The 12,876-nt window shown below is 44.2% G+C and overlaps 1 protein-coding gene and 1 long non-coding RNA gene across 10 annotated transcripts in view, besides 4 other annotated features; one reads left to right on the top strand and one right to left on the bottom strand.

The window, feature by feature from the left end:
• Nucleotides 1–4,956, bottom strand: part of KCNQ5 (potassium voltage-gated channel subfamily Q member 5) — a 576,790-nt gene extending 571,834 nt beyond the window's left edge. For all 9 annotated transcript variants that reach the window (NM_001160133.2, NM_019842.4, NM_001160134.2 and 6 more), the window contains exon 1: nucleotides 4,433–4,956. In NM_001160133.2, the coding sequence (NP_001153605.1) occupies nucleotides 4,433–4,830 (398 nt within the window). In that variant the 5' untranslated portion in view covers nucleotides 4,831–4,956. The remainder of the gene's footprint in view (nucleotides 1–4,432) is intronic.
• Nucleotides 3,320–4,271: an enhancer, noted in NCBI's record as "H3K4me1 hESC enhancer chr6:73332477-73333428 (GRCh37/hg19 assembly coordinates)". NCBI's record gives its function as "activates a minimal SCP1, AML or CMV promoter by ChIP-STARR-seq in naive H9 embryonic stem cells {active_cell/tissue: H9 hESC(naive)}" and the evidence as "EXISTENCE:reporter gene assay evidence [ECO:0000049][PMID:30033119]".
• Nucleotides 3,622–3,671: a silencer, noted in NCBI's record as "silent region_17330". NCBI's record gives its function as "represses an Ori minimal core promoter by ATAC-STARR-seq in GM12878 lymphoblastoid cells {active_cell/tissue: GM12878}" and the evidence as "EXISTENCE:reporter gene assay evidence [ECO:0000049][PMID:35858748]".
• KCNQ5-DT (KCNQ5 divergent transcript) lies at nucleotides 4,341–12,660 on the top strand. Its single transcript, NR_186827.1, has 3 exons — nucleotides 4,341–4,488; nucleotides 9,014–9,169; nucleotides 10,947–12,660. It is a non-coding gene; the product is annotated as a KCNQ5 divergent transcript (long non-coding RNA).
• Nucleotides 4,702–4,961: a silencer, noted in NCBI's record as "silent region_17329". NCBI's record gives its function as "represses an Ori minimal core promoter by ATAC-STARR-seq in GM12878 lymphoblastoid cells {active_cell/tissue: GM12878}" and the evidence as "EXISTENCE:reporter gene assay evidence [ECO:0000049][PMID:35858748]".
• Nucleotides 6,382–6,571: an enhancer, noted in NCBI's record as "active region_24737". NCBI's record gives its function as "activates an Ori minimal core promoter by ATAC-STARR-seq in GM12878 lymphoblastoid cells {active_cell/tissue: GM12878}" and the evidence as "EXISTENCE:reporter gene assay evidence [ECO:0000049][PMID:35858748]".
• Nucleotides 12,661–12,876: the final 216 nt, after the last annotated feature.

Below are 12,876 nucleotides of genomic sequence, written 5' to 3'. Positions count from 1 at the left end.
AGCCCAACATGTTCAAATCCGAACCCATTATATTCACCAGAATATGTGCCCTTCACTCTTTGTCCCATATATTAGTGAATGGCACTTCCATTCCTCAAATCAACCAAGTCAGAATCATCTTCCTCATACCACATGTCAGACTGGTGAAAACAATCTGCAAATTTTATCTCCTTAACATTTCTTTGGTTAAACTCCTCCTTCTCATCTCCACAGTTACTGCCTTAGTTCCTTAGGCAATCATCTCTCACCTTTCTAGTATGATCCACAGCATATAGTCGATAGTCAACAGACATTTCACAGAATAAGTTTATGAATAAATGAATGCAACAATGAATGGAAAATTCTCACAATTGGTATCATCTCCTTATAGGCCATATTGACTCCATTTTGCACTCCAATTTATTTGCTGAACTAATGAAAGGCAGATCTTTCCAAAATTTATATCTGATTATATCATTCCCCTGATTATCACCATTCAATGACCACTACTGCCTACAGGATAAATACAAGATTCTATGGTCAGCATCAGAATCTATCCAACAGATTGGTGATTTGCCTTTTGCTCTACCACCCTTTCTTGTGGCTTTCCTCACCCTGAAAATACTTAACAGTACCTAGAATTACTGTGCTGATTCACAACTCCATATCTTTACTCAAGCTGTTTTCTCTGTCAAGATTGTTCATTCCCTCCTGCTATGCCCACCTGAAAATTAACTACTCATTTGTGGAAACTCAGCTTACACCTCACTTCCCCTTTGAAGCCTGTGCTGACTTTTCTGCCCGGGCTTCACTTCTTTTTCTTTTCTCATGTCACTTTGTAACCTCTCTCTCTAAGCACACCAATAACATTGTTTCACACTTGTTCACAGGCTTGTAGTAGTCCCTTGCTGGCGTCTTTTCCTTCCTCCAGAGTGGAGGCCTTTGCCTTGTTAATTTGGGAATTAGCACATATTACACACTCTAATAATTGTAGATGGATACATAGATGAAGGAGTAGATGATAAGAGTCATGGAAATATTTTAGGCAAGGGGATGATATGATAAGATTTGCATTTTACGAACAATACTATGATGTTAGAGCAGAGAGAAGGCTGAGAACAGAAACCAGATGATCAGGCAGGAGAATATTACAAATCATCTAATGGAGAGGTAAGAAACAGAATGGAATAGAAGTGGTAAAGAAGAAAAGGGAATGTATTTGAAAAATACCTATAAAGTAAACAAACAATAGTTAATGACCTTTTGCCTGACCAGAAGGAGTAAGTATGAGAAAAAGGATGACTTCAGAGCTCCTAGCTTGGGTGACTTCTTCTTGTCTCCTTGTTTAATATCTATAATTCACATCCATAGCATTAAGTCAGGCAAAGATACATTAGGCAAAGTGATCAATTACATGTATCTGCAACACCGTTTCCCATGTAACTTCTCAGAACCACATTTGCTGCATCAACGCAAATTTATATATGAAGCCTCATCCTGTGTCCCCCTACTACCCTCATTATTCTTCAAAATTTTCCTTAAACAAGGAGGAATTAAAAAGGGACAAACAACATTCAGGGAAATGAGCCACCTCATGTTTGAATAGCACACTAATAAAATGAAGAAAAGTTGAAGATAGGAAATATGGCTGTCAGGTAAATCCTAAAGAATAGTAAGGGCAAGGATCTCCTAATCTCCACTAATTTATAAAGTTTAAGGGAAAATATTTGAAGTAGGTCATCCCTTGCTCTGTCCAGCCATCCTATCAATAGGCTAGGATATGTACTCTTGAAAAGACATTTTATAACCCTAAAATACCATTATAATAATTATTTTTGCATAAATAATAGAAATTTATATTTACCTCAAGCATAACTTTAAACATGCTTTTCTTGTTTCTTGGCAGTGAAAACACTGGTTGACCAAGTAAATTCACCCCTGAAGTACCTCATTAATCACGGTGCACTTGTTCTTGGCAAGAACCTTAATATGCTACAAATACTGTTATTAAAATAAGATTTGGGGATTCCCAAGCTGGCAGGGAATTAGTTAGTTACACCTCTCTCGAAATTATTTTATTGGGGTCTAGTTAAACTTACAGCATAAAGCAACTTCGATAAATGAATGTAATGTGTAAAGTCTGGCTATTCTAAAGCTCATTTAAAATCACAAGCAGCAACTGCCAAAGATGGCCTCTTTCCTCAGGGTCTGCTTAGTTGTGCACAATCCTCCCAAAAGATGATACTATCCATTCCCTCTTTGTGCTAATGTGGATATAGCACCCCTATCTAATTGCTGAGGCATTGCAGTTTCAGACTCTAAAATGTATAATCAAAACTTCACATTTGCTACATCTATTAAGTACACAATTTATTTCCTGTCTACTACTAAAGATACTGCTAGACTGATAAAGCCTGGTAGACAGAGAAGTATCCAACCTTGAACCTTTGGAAAAATCATTTATTAATGTTTTAAAATTCTGTAAGCCCATACAAACCTGTTAACACCAACACATGGAAAAGAAAATGTTGTGTTGCAAGTTCTCATTCATGTTCAAGAACAAGTTAGGAGATGCAAAGTATGTGCACCAACCAAGGCTTTCTTTAACTCTCTCTGAATATACAATGCATAATATAAAAAAAAGAAAGGCTAGAAATGTTTTGAGCATACTGTTGTAAAGAAAAAATCATAACCTATACAGTATATATATTTGCTACCAAATTGAGCATTATAATTGCTAAATTATTTTAGTATATTCTGACAGGTCAAAATAATTTACCAGGCTTATTAAGTAATATGTTTAATTACATATCAGGTCAGAGGAGATTAACGAGAAAAGTGTCAGTTGCATTTCTCTATCATTATCCTAACCACATTTAAATAAATGTGAATTTTACATAAAAGTTATACTTTTTGATGTAATGATGATGCAACACAACCGTTCTCCTTGTGTGCATTGTAAAACGGAAAGTTGGCTGGAATATTCTGCCTAATGCTACATGTTCACGTCAATCTGGGACTGTAAAATTTTCCAGACACCAGAGCCCCACAGATTGTAGACTCCACCAATTTCCTGACTCCTATGTGGTTGAATTCCAGGTTCACCTAGTTACAAAACCAGCCCTTCTTCCATGTTATTTCAAAACACGTTTCTGGTGTTGATGCTAATTCTGCATCCCAGGAGAGAGCTATGTATGGATGACATAACTTATTTCTAAAAGAAACCTAGTCCGTGTGCTCAAAACTTATTTTACTAGGAAACAAGGAATGTATCAGCGAGTATCTGCAACTTTCTCTACTGGTCTTCTAAGGTTGATGTCTTTATATTTCATCTTAACAAAAAAGAAGCAGAAATAATAATACTAAAAAAAGAGGAAGCAAAAGGAGAAGAGGAAGAAAAAAAGAATTAGACACGAGGTAACATTATAAAAACAACCTTAAAATGCCCAGATAAACGTAACTCTAATAGGAGACTGAATGAATGGACTTTGTGGGAAAAACAGTAGTAAACTTTAAAGCCACTGAAAGGTTTTAAATGCCTAAGGGAAAAATAAACATTTGCTTCCAATCATTTTCTCATTAAGCATTCTCTGCTAGATGGAGAAGGCTTACTACACACACACACACACACACACACACACACACACACTCTTTGACTCCGCGCCACAAACGGGGACTTAACCCACTGCCCGATCTCTGTCAGAGGCGACCCATTTGCGCTTCTGCTATCGCACCTCCGCCCGCGTTCCTGCGCCCCAGGTTCCCCGCTGCCTCCCCGCCCCCTGCAGCGCGGGAGCGTTGCTTCGCCTGGCCTGCTGGCCTCCTCTAGACCTTGGCCACCTTCTCCGTGGCAGGAAGGGCTACATGCACTGACAGATTTTCCGTTGGTGGTGGCTGGGTGGTGGCGAGGCGTGTTTCCGGGCGCGCTTAAAACCTAGCAGCTCTCTCCAAGTAGCAGCTTCCCCTACTCCGCCCCTAGGACTGAGGACCTAGCCCTCGATGCCCCCTCACTTCTCCCCGTCCTACCCCGCCATCACCTCCTAACCTCTCCAGTATACTCTCAAGCCTCACACGGGCGCCTGTCCTCCCTTTGCATTCCCTAGCTCCCGGGCGCCCCGTTCGGTTGAAGTTTACGTATCTTGGGACCTAATTGCTCCCAATTATCCGCGCAGCCTAAGTCCCGCGTCTGCCTGGCTCTCGCCCCGGGAGCCTGAAGCTACCGGGCAGTTCATTGGGTGTCCTCGGGGAAAAGGTTCAAGCTGTAGAGATGAGAGAAGTGGGGCTGGGGGAGGGGAGAGGCTCCAGAAGGAAGACCACGAACACGTGCGAAGAAATAAAAGCCACCACGTGTGCACGCGCGCGGGGGCCCAAGGGCGCGAGCGCGGAGCACGCCCCAGGGGGCCAGGGACAGTGGTCCCCTGCAGCGGGCATAGCAGGGGGCGCGGGTACTCACACGAAAGCGTGGTAGATGAACGCCCAGCCGCGGGGTCTCTCCAGCACGTTGTACAGGTAGTTCTGCACCCGCCGGTACTTGACGTTGCGCCGGCAGCTCTGGCTACTCGTGTAAGAGAGCGGCTTCCCCAGCAGGCTCATCCGGGCCCCCTGCTTGCCCCGGCGGCTCTCCCTCAGGCCACCGCCGCCGCCACCGAGCGTGGCCGCGCGGGTGCCCAGCAGTAGCAGGCCGTCGCCCCTGGCGGCTGCCGAGTTCAGCAGCACCCTGCCCCGGCCGGACTCCACATCCTTCATGCCGCTGCCCAAGCGCCCCCCGCCCGCCGCCGCCGCCGCTGCGCCGCTCTTCACCCAGAGCCCGGCGGCGCCGCCCTCCTCTCCTCCCGCGTGGTGGCGGGGCATGGCATCACCACGGGCACCGCGAGGGGGCCGCCAGCGCCTGCGGCGGGGGCAGCGGCCTCATGTGCGCCGGCGGGTTTCAAGGAGGAAGCCGGCGGCCGACGGGGCGCCCGCCAGCCAGAGACCTCTGAGCCGGGGGCGGGGAAGCAGGCAGCCAGCAAACCGCCCGGGCTTCGGGGCGGGAAAGGAGGGGCTGCAGAGGAGGCCGAGGAGTCCCAATTTCTAACAGCCTTTAGCTTCGAATTCTAAATCCGGACCTGTTTGGGGCGTCACTTTGAGAGGGTTTCTCTTGCTCCCTCATTCCCGCGACTACCACTCCCTCCTTCCCAAACTGCCCCCGGGGATAGAGTGGGGGAGTGCGGGGCGCTCCGAGGCGCGCTCCCACGCGCGCACACCCAGCCCCAGGCTTCCCCTTCCCTCTCTCCACTCCCCACGCCCTGCAGCGAAACGGCCCCAGAAGCCCCTCTCCGAGGCGCGAGTTCGGTTTGGTTCTGGCAGGGGCTTTGCAGCTGTCCGGAAGGTGAAGTCAGCCTTGTGTCCTGAGGAGAAACTGGAGATGCAGGTCGCTGTGCCCTCCCGCTGCTACGTCGCTGCGCCGGATCCTGCCATCCTTCCGCAAGGGGTGAGAGCGGGAACAGCCCTGCCCTGCCTTCCAGGTATTATCTAGCCTGGAGGCTGGAGCGCAAGGTAACGCTCCGGGAAGTGGCACTCGGGTCCCCGCACACGGGCGAGTCCTCAGCAGTTCAGTGGACAGACCCGCAGGACGCGGCTGCCAAGTCCGCGAGGCAAGGACCAGGCATCTTCCCGCGCCTCACTCCAGCCTGCGGACTGTGACTTTCCATCCCAGTATCAGACAAGCTCGCGAGTAACTGAACATCCTTTCCAGTCCATGGGTGGGGTGTGGAAAGGGCGTAAAACTCCAAAGTGGCTCCTCCGCGGTGAGCGAGCTGCCCCGGGGCTCTGCCTGACTGCAGCGCGAAGCCTGGGAGAACAAACCCAGTTCCCTCCGTCAAGAAATTTCCATTTAAGTCCGAGAAAGTCATATGATTGAGAAGTTCAGCAGCGGCGGCGAGGACCCAGTGTCTGGGAAAGAACACCTGGAGGATGGGGTGTCCAGGACGCCGGCTTTTCGGGGTTCCGACCCCACCCACCTTATGTTGTAACATACAAGCTTAGAGACCTGTTGCAAGGAACAACTGACTGGGTCTTCCACCACCCCTGGCACCCGGGTGGCCCAAAGCCTATGCGCCCTTGGCGGAGAGAGAGGCCACGGTGCCACTGGCCGCAGCCTCTGGCCTTCAGAAACAGTGTATTACAAAGAAAAGGCAGTTTAAATCTCACATTCAGCATAGGGAAAACTGAAGGGTGCCAGGCTCGGGGACTTCTTCCAACAGAGTGGCTCTTCCCCAAATATGAAAGAAAATCATCAAATTAAATTGAAGGCAAAACTAAGCTTCCACCACAAAGACATAGCAGATAGTTGCAAGGTGGATTCCTTCGGGCCTTTTCCTTTCCTAAGGCTAAAACAATGCTAAGACAAAAGTCTTCTTGCAGCTGTCTCCGCCCCTCCGAGATAAATACTTTCCCAATTCTCCCCCACCCTGTACACACACCCACGCCCGCGGCAGCTGATTTCTGTCTTCTGCAATAGCTCGATTTAAATGCTTTGCTTTTACTCTTTATTATCACTATTATTTGTGTGAAGCCCTCTCGCCTGCTCCTGGTCACCAGCAGGAGCCTGCTTCCCTCCCTCCTTCCCCCCAAGCCTCTGGGCAGCAGAAGCTAGCTGGGAGCTCTGTGCAGCTGGCGGCGACGCCATGTGACTGTGAGCCGAGCACCATCACCCAGAGTCACTCTCTAGCTTTCCCCTAATACACTTCACACCCACGCACTGTGGAGGTGCGAGAGAGGTTGCTCCGTGCGGTGCTATTCGAGGCAGATGCAGAGAGCGCCCTGGAGTAAGCTCTCCAATCCTAGAGCTGCGCGGGACCCTGACTGAAGGCGGAGGGGGCGGGAGGGGGTGCTGTTGCTATATTTAGACTCCCTATGGAGTTTCTGTGCAGGGACTTTCAGGGTGAAAGATCTAGAGACTTAAAATGACTCGTGTGCCCGCTTTAAACGTCAAAATCTTGGCCTTTCTGCAAGCAGTAAAATGAAAACCACTTCCTCTTAACTTAGCTGTTTTCCTTGTTGCAGACTGCTACTTTCGCTGGGTAGGTAAAGTCACTTCCATCTCTCTGGCGCGGCTGGGCCCCGCGTGCAGGCAAGAAGTCTCAGGAAGGCAGGACACAGGGACACGTTTCCCTGGAAGACAGCCAGCTGTTTAATTTCTAAGTGATGCTTTTCTGGGGATGCAGCATTAGTTCTAGTGAAACTGTATTATTGATTAAGCAAATGCCATTTAAGCTTAATTAAAAAATAAAAAAGACCCGGTTACTGGTAGCCGTTTTGAGCTGCTGAGAAGGACCTTTCACTTATGTCTTCTAGAGTAACCGCCATTTGGATACACAGCCCAGAAAAAGAGGGCCTGCTCAAGTTTTCGCGGGTAGTGTGAGAGTTACTAGGAATCCAACAACCTGGCTTCCTAGTTCACTGTTCCTTCCACCAATCAATCTGCATCTCCAGCAGAGAATGGATAAAATAGCAAACAGTTCTGGGGTTTTGTATCAATCTCTGACTGCAACCATTGGGAAAGACTGGCTTAGCTGAAGTTCTAACCTTCCTACCTTTCAATGCCCAGAAAGAAAAAGCCAAGTGAGTCTGTGCCAACCTCTCCTACAAGAGCCTCTGTTTGCACCTTGCTTTATTTGCTACCTGCTAACTTCCCTCAAAAGACGGGAATTAACTTTGGAGAAAATAAGGTGTTTGCGATTAAGCTTTGTTGTTGTTCCTTTGAATACAGACGTTGCTAGGAAACTGCCTTTTATTAGTTCGTTTTGCTGAAATATTAAAATTCAAATTTAGAAAAGAGGATAGGCATACTGAGCAGTGAGTAAAACAGTGTATATTCTATGCATTATAATTACATTAGAGCATTATGAAGAGGTAAAGGCAAATGTTAACTGCTAGTGTAAAGTATGTGAGTTGATTGGCCCTCCCCATCTTTTGAGATGTGTTTGCTTTTACTCATTCATTCTCTTAAGATGCTTGCCTGAAATTTATGACCTTGGAAACATTTTCTGAAGTCTACATGGATATGGTTTCAACTGAACATAGTTTCTAGAGATATTTTATTTTAGTGTGTTTCTTTTTCTTTTTTGGAGATGGGGTCTTGCTGTTTTGCCCAGGCTGGTCTCCAACTCCTGAACTCAAGCAATTCTTCCACCTCAGCCTCTCAAAGTGCTGGGATTACAGGCGTGAGCCACTGCTCCTGGCCTCAGTGTGTTTTCTATCCCATTGTATTATTCTTCTGAAAGGTACTCTGAAATAATAATATTTGAAATTCTATACATGAGCTAGAGATGCACAAAAAAAAGACTTTCAATGCTCATAAGAGGGGCAGAATAACTGGATCTGGACGAGTTTCACAAAGCATCAATGACTCACTCTCCCACTTTCCTTCTTCTTCATGCCTACCCATTTTCTCATTTGCGCCTATCTCCTACTACAAGATACGCTCTTTAGTAGCCACTCTTTAGTGATATGGGTGCATATTGATCCATTGTGAAATTCCTGGGCTAATCAGACAGGGAATGATAAATAGAATTCTTAAACCCTATAATAAAAAGGAAATGCATGTGACATGAGTCTGCTTGGGAAAATAATGAAGGGGCAAATATAAAACTTAAAAAGTAGAAAATAATCAACAAAAAGAAAATGCACTAATGGAGAAATGGAAATTCATGATTGGCTGCTGTTTAATGATGTGCACAGGGCTCAGCAATTTGCCTTGTAAGCTTAGGGGTAGAACTGAAGTCTCCAGACTCCTGAATAGGAGTCCCTTTAAGCTACCACCCTTCTCCTTAGCTTTTATTTCCTTCCAATCAGGCCATAACCAAACCAATAAGCATAACAGCTATATTGCATTTCATAGATATCATAACCATTGGTTCAGTAAACATATTTATCTCCTGCTATTATTTTAAATGTATCAGCATAATATACCATTTGTTTTGATCAGTCATCAACAATTCTTATCTCTAAGAGTTATGATACAAACTTCTCACGCTCTTTCTTCAACAAGCAGAAATTAATCAGAGAACCCAGGACAACGTCAGAGATCATATGAGCCTCACCAGACTGCATGAGAGTCATAACACAGTAGGAGTCCCAGGCCTACCTCACATGGCAAATGGGACAGTGTTCTTCAGAACAACCTCTGCCCCAGGGATGCAGAAAGGAGGTGGGTGTGAATGAGTGTGGCTGTAAGGAGAGGCTGGTAGAGAAATAGTGCGGAAAGGGCTCAACAAGTTCTCACCATTTTTATTCCAGCAGCTAACAAAATTACTGTTTCTAGGAATTACTGAAATATTGTGCTGATCACAATTGTTGAAGCAAAATAATAGCAAATACTTATCATGTGTTTTGTATGTGTTAGGCACTGTGGTTTACAGTAATTATTTCAGGCCGGATGTGGTAGCTCATGCCTGTAATCCCAGCACTTTGGGAGGCCAAAGTGGGTGGATCACTTGAGATCAGGAGTTCAAGACCATCCTGGCCAACACAGTGAAACCCCGTCTCTACTAAAAAATAGAAAAATTAGCTGGGCATGGTGGCAGGTGCCTGTAATCCCAGCTACTCAGGAGGCTGAGGCATGAGAATCGCTTGAACCTGGGAAGTGGAGGTTGTAGTGAGCCAAGATGGTGCCACTGCACTCTAGCCTGGGCAACAGAGGGTGAGACTGTGTCTCAAAATAAAATAAAATAAAACAAAATAAATTTCACTTAATTGTGACAATAGTTTCATAAGTAGGCACTACAATCATATCCAATTTATAGGGGCAGAAACTGAGGTGTAGACAAGTTAATTTTTTTTTAAACTAAAAATTAGCTGAGGCAGGGCAAAAACAGAACCAAAACTAGATTTTTAACTACTAATCTATATCAGCTTTTGAATAAAAAATACTTAGCCTATTATTTTGTATTAATAATCTTAATGGGTTTTGTTACAAATGAAAAGTACTGGAAAGTTTCTATTGGTTATCTTGGAGGAGGATTTGAGGTTTTATTCTAAACACAGAAATAGCTTCAATATTTCTCTTCACTTTTCCTGTGGAAGTAGGAGTTTCCCTGCATAGACACTCTTCTGTGCTGAAATTTTAAAAATAGTCCCAAGTCTCATAGTATCAATTTCTTGAAATTGTATTTACATTTTGATCTTTTTCTTAATGCTATTCTCAGCTTTATTTATAAAACCCTGTTAATCGTATTTGGCCATACCTGATTTCATTTTTTCTGACATGTTAATATGTCAGCACTGCTCTCTATCTGTTAGCCAACTATTTAAACATATCTCTCTGGGAATAATAGAGTTAGTTGAACTTTTTAAGATCCATATATTTAGAAACTATGTGAAGAGGTTGCCACAGAAGGCAAACATCTCTTTTAAGCTAGTGTACCGGAAAATTCTGTTACTAGTCTGTGCCCCCTAGTGGTACTGACATTTTACCATTGTTTTTTAAAAGGAAATTAAGAAAGCTTCTTTTACGAAGTTCTCAAAACTTATTACTCTCTTCAACAAGTAATCTTCAACTATCAGGTGTCAGCTACCTGGAGTGGTGCAATGATGAAAGACAGTCCTGATTCTTATTATGTTCATAGACTAGTAGGGTAGATGGATAAATGAGCAAGTAATTATAACATGGTGATGAGTTCACACAGGTTTGCACAGAATGTTATAGAAGCTACAGAGGTTCCTAAAGAATGTAATAGCTGAGCTAAGTCTTGAGGAATAACTAGACTTTGGTGAAGACATGAGGGATAACTCAAAGAGAAAACATTTGAGAAGATGTGACGGAGTCTTGCTCTGTCGCCCAGGCTGGAGTGCAGGCACAATCTCAGCTCACTGCAACCTCCACCTCCCAGGTTCAAGTGATTCTCCTGCTTCAGCCCCCCGAGTAGCTGGGACTACAGGCATACGCCACCACGCCCAGCTAATTTTTGTACTTTTATTGAAAACAGGGTTTCACTATGTTGGCCAGTCTGGTGTTGAACTCCTCACCTCAAATGATCTGCCCACCTTGGCCTCCCAAAGCGTTGGAGTTACAGACGTGAGCCACCGCGCCCAGCTGGAGAAGATGTGAAATTTTGAGAGCTGACCATACTTTGAGAATAATAAGTAGTTGGATTCTACTGAAGCCCAGTGGCTTTTGGAGGTGTAGCAATAAGCAGGAGGCAGCAGAAGTAAGACAAGGGCTGTATGACAAAGTCTTGGCAAGAACTTTGAATTTTATCCTGATGTGAGTGGGGAGAGCCACTGAAGAACGTGAAGCCAGAAACACTACATGTTACTACTTCTACTTTCAGAAAAGGCTTAATATGGATTATACACCTACAAGTGGCACACACTGTTCCAAGTGGAGACTCAAAGATGATAACGATACAGTGTTTATGCTATAGGTTTGTGAAGCTACCAATCCATGGACAGATGTTAAACCTAACTTCCAATTTCAGGTACAAATATCTGAGTAAATGATGGTATCATTTACTCAATCAGTAAAGGTCAAAGAGAAGGCAGTCTGAAGAAGGGAAAGGTGTTCAATTTTGCATTGAGTTTGACATACCTGTTGAGACAGCTCAGTGGAGATATCCAGTTGATGCTTGGATATATGGACTTACAGCTCAGGGGGAGCTAGAAATTGAAATTTGAGAATCATCAACCTATATTTATAATGGGTGAAATCAATAAGTCGGAATCAAATTACCTGGGGAAGCATGCAGATTTGTTTAAAAAGGAAGAGGCCTGAGAACCCAACCCTGGTAAGCATGACCATTCAGGATAAGAGAGAAGGAGCAAGTAGGGAAAGAGACTGAAATAAAGAAACCTGAGTAACCACTGAGGACCACTGCTACAATAGAGAAAAAGGAACTTCATTAGGGAAATGCCTGAAAGCGAATAAGGTAAGGATTTTGGATTTAGCAACAAAGAGGTCATTTGAAGAAGTTGTTTTTATTTTTATTTCCTTGCAGAATTGTAGAAATAGAAATCAAATCAGAGTGAGCAGAGAAACAATTTGAAGATAAGGGAATGGAGATAATTATTTTAAAGTGGGAGAAGCAAGCAGAAGATTTAGGTTTGAAGAAGGCACTATACAAAATAATGTTGATTCACTTGAGACTTGAGTGGCTGTTACAGCCACTCTCACAGGTCCCGAGGCTGAGCCTGCACAGGTGTTTCGACAACTAAGCTGCAATTTTGACAGACACTATTTCACTGTCAATTGTGCGGCCTGCAACAACTTGGACATCTTTTATTGATTTTATTGAGTACTTTAATAACATTTTAATAAAAGCCATTATATTTTATTTCTAACATTTCAAAAAATTCTATTTAATAAGTATGCATTTTTCGTGTTTAGTTTTACCAAGAAGGAAAATGCATGCTAGATAAACTACATTTTTGTTTGATTTTATTTGTAATCAAGGCTGAGGAACTGACCAGATCAGAAAAAGAAAGTCAATACCTGCTAAGTATTCAACACAGTTTTCAACAGTGCTACTGAAAGCTACAGGAGATACCAAGAGTCCCTCAGACAGGTCAGGGATTGGCAAGAGTGGGGTCATCAAGTTTCTGGAGTTTCAATAAGATATTTGCTTTTTTCTTATATATACATATTAGCTTTCTGCATAAAATTATATTAACAGAAACGCTATTAAAGTTGTTTTTGAAAAACAACTGAACTACAGAATGGTCCTGTTTGTTGGAGTATTTAGAATACTTTCAGGCCAGGCGCGGTGGCTCATGCCTGTAATCCCAGCACTTTGGGAGGCCAAGGCGGGCAGATGACCAGGTCAGGAGATCGAGACCATCCTGGCTAACACGGTGAAACCCCATCTCTACTAAAAACACAAAAAATTAGCCGGGCTCAGTGGCGGGCGCCTGTAGTCCTAG

This window comes from Homo sapiens, chromosome 6, assembly GCF_000001405.40.
Source record: "Homo sapiens chromosome 6, GRCh38.p14 Primary Assembly".
Taxonomy (NCBI): domain Eukaryota; kingdom Metazoa; phylum Chordata; class Mammalia; order Primates; family Hominidae; genus Homo; species Homo sapiens.
Note: the sequence above shows the minus strand (reverse complement) of the source record. Positions and strands in the feature narration are given on the sequence as shown.